Source organism: Homo sapiens, chromosome 6 (genome assembly GCF_000001405.40).
Source record: "Homo sapiens chromosome 6, GRCh38.p14 Primary Assembly".
NCBI classification, from domain to species: Eukaryota; Metazoa; Chordata; class Mammalia; order Primates; family Hominidae; genus Homo; species Homo sapiens.
Genome location: NC_000006.12, coordinates 105,643,696 through 105,646,810, shown reverse-complemented (window position 1 = coordinate 105,646,810; position 3,115 = coordinate 105,643,696). Strand labels below are relative to the sequence as shown.

Here is a 3,115-nt window from a genome sequence, read left to right as displayed (position 1 = left end):
TTAGCAGGGTAAGCATGTAGAGGCAGGCCACTTTCTAGTAGATTGTGAGAAGATAGACCTCAGCATGAGCCTGACTGTGGGTCTGATGTGGAGAGAAGAGAGTCAAAAGGAAATATTCTGTGGCTTTCTATATGACTGAAATGCAGCAAGGCTATTGTTTGCTGTAGCAGCTGATTGAAAAAGAGTGACATTCTGTCCACTGAACGTTAATAGGCTCAAGTGGAAGTGTGGTGATCAAAGCTGAGTCATAACTTGAGAGGAAACCAGTCTTACCCATGTTTTTTGTTCTTTAGTGGAGACACCTAGTAAGCTCTTCGAAGACGGTGGCTTTCTACAAAAGGAGAGCTATAGTAACCGTTGGCCGCAGCAAGATGCTCTTCTCACTCTTGTGTTGGAACAAGAACCAGTTATGAGAAGCCTGGGTTTGACTTGCTTTTGGTGTGGTTAATGCTGGTGGGAAGGTTTCTTATAGGTCTTTTTATTTATTAATACATTTGGTCATAGATGGGCCTTCAGGATTTTCAATTGCTGTGACTATGTTGGTCTGGCTAGCTTTTTCCAGGCTAACAATGCAAACACCCCCAGCACCCCTGAGGGATAGTCTCACAAAGCCCCTGTCTGTCTGGCCTGTGGCTACATAAGCAATCTCTTGACAGTTCTTGGAACGTGAGACTTGGTGACGTGACCTAAGACTTCGATGTTTTTGTGATTTATCCAGGACACTTGACTAGGTAACAGGAATGCAGATGATCTCTGTCTCAGTGCTAGAACCTGCAGCTTTAGCCCAGGTTTATTCTTTGGGGTATGACTGCTAATCTGAAAATTTTGGGGAGAGTCCAGTGTCTGTGCAAGAGCAAATCTTCAATTTGGACTGATTCCACTATGAAGGAAATTGAGTTTTTATGGGAGCTAAAAATAAACGATCCTTAGCACTCCCTCCATCCTAAAATACATTAAATAGCCCTTACATTTTCAAGTTAGAACAAATCTGGCCTCATTGTTTCTGTCACTCTAACACTTGTTAATGTTATTTATGTAATTTTCAGATATTCTCAGATCAAAATTTTCCATGCCCAGTTATCTTTCTCATGCAAAGAAATTGTGATCAGTGTTCAGTTTCAATCAGTTTACTGAAGGAAGGGTCGTTTACAACACCTGTAGCCACTTTTCTCTTAGGGACTTAGTTAAAAAATCAGATGCAGGGTGTGAAATGAGACCTAAGTAATTCTTTCCAAGTTCCTTTGAGGAGCTCCCTGCTAGTACTCTCTCAGCCTAGAAATCAACACCTGCCTTTCACAAAGGAGCCTCCATCCAGTGTGGAATTCCAGCAAGTACACAGGTAGTTATTTCTAGGAATATTGCCCTTGCACATCTCTCCTCTTGCCAGGCACCAAACTAATTTCTCAAAGAGAAACAGTGGGAAACAATATGTTCTGTGCTGCCTTCACATACTACCATAAGAGGCAGTTAGTTACATAAGCCGGCTTCCAGAGATTTGCCAAGTGCTCTTTTTAAAAAAAGTGGCTGCTGATGGAACATTCTTTACATAAAACAGATACTTGTTTCAGCAACCAAAGTCCATGTCCACAGCAAAATCCAACTAGTGTTCTACTTTTCTATTTGTCTATAGAGTATAGATCTCTATACACTTCAGGAGAAAAACTTGTGTCAATAATGGATTGGGTTCGACAGTTTAAAAGAAAAAACAAATGGACATTTTTCATTACCTCAATTTCTCATTATCTACATCAACTCAGAACCGTCAAGAAGGCCCATAGTGAAGCCTAAAGGTTTTGAAAGGGGCTACTATGAGCATTATGGATTCTGTCCCATACTCAGGAAGCACCCCCCGACCAGGAATTTCTCAAGACCAAGGCGTGATGAGTGCAGTTTTACTACTGCCTCTGCTCATGAATAAGACCTCTGTGGTAAATCATTTCCCAGGTAGAATTTGCTCTTCCTCCTTAAGTAAGAGTAGTCTTTAAAAAAAAAAATCCTTTCTCAGAGTAGTAAACAACTCTCTGAAGTAGGCATCATCTAGATAACCTTTACAAAAGACATTCTCTGCTTGATTCCATATTGGTTCTGATGTAAAAGTGCATCAAAGTTAGAAAAATCTTGCTCAAGTTTCAACAGCAAATATTCTTAGCCAGAGGAGCTGACGTGGGGGTGAATGGAAAGGAAGTAGAAAGTCAAGTGCAAGATCAGTTACAAGAATACCACTTAGAATTTTTGGTTTTCCCTCATGCTTGGTGAATATATTTTTTACATGTCAGTGGGTTGGGCCCATCATTAAGCTATTGTCTCGCGGCATCAAGCCCATCCTCCTACACTCTGCTGTGTGATGCTGGACCTCTGCAATACACATTTATTTCTGTGTTGCTGATAATTCCCTGTTAGGCTCTGCCAACAGGGGATGCTAGAGAAAGACTGCAAGTCTGGGAAAGGAGAAAGTTTATTTTCCTCTCTGCTACCTCTGACTCCAGTTTTGCTTCCTATTTCTTTCAGTGTCACCCAGCAACACTTCTTCACCCAAACAGTGGCATTTTACTTCAGTAACAGCTGTTTATACTAGTTTGCATTTTTTTTTTCTTGACACAGGATCTCATTCTGTCGCTCAGGCTGGAGTGCAGTGGTGTGATCACAGCTCAGGTGATCCTCCCACGTCAGCCTTCCAAGTAGCTAGGACCACAGGTGTGCACCATACCCAGCTAATTTTTGTATTTTTTTGTAGAGATGGGTTTTCACTGTGCTGCCCAGGCTGGTGTCGAACTCCCGGGCTCAGGTGATCCACTTGCCTTAGCCTCCCAAAGTGCTGGGATTATATGCATAAGCCATCATGCCCAGCCCAGTTTACAATTTTTCCAATAGTTGCAGAACCAGTCTCATGGTACACCCCTCAGATGCACTGTCTTAGCTGGCAGTATCACCTTTTTGGAAGTTTGGGCCAACCCTGTGGCCCCACACTGGCATTAGGTACATCAGCACAGGCCACCAGCTGCCACTTCCCCTGGGGGATCTGAGTCTACTCCCTACTTAGGTACACCAGCACCAGCCAGCTGCCACCTCCCTGGGAGATCTGAGTCTACCCCCCTACCCAAGGTCTGAAGCACCA

The 3,115-nt window shown here is 43.0% G+C and overlaps 1 annotated feature.

Moving 5' to 3' along the window:
* Positions 2,568-2,807: an enhancer, noted in NCBI's record as "active region_24875". NCBI's record gives its function as "activates an Ori minimal core promoter by ATAC-STARR-seq in GM12878 lymphoblastoid cells {active_cell/tissue: GM12878}" and the evidence as "EXISTENCE:reporter gene assay evidence [ECO:0000049][PMID:35858748]".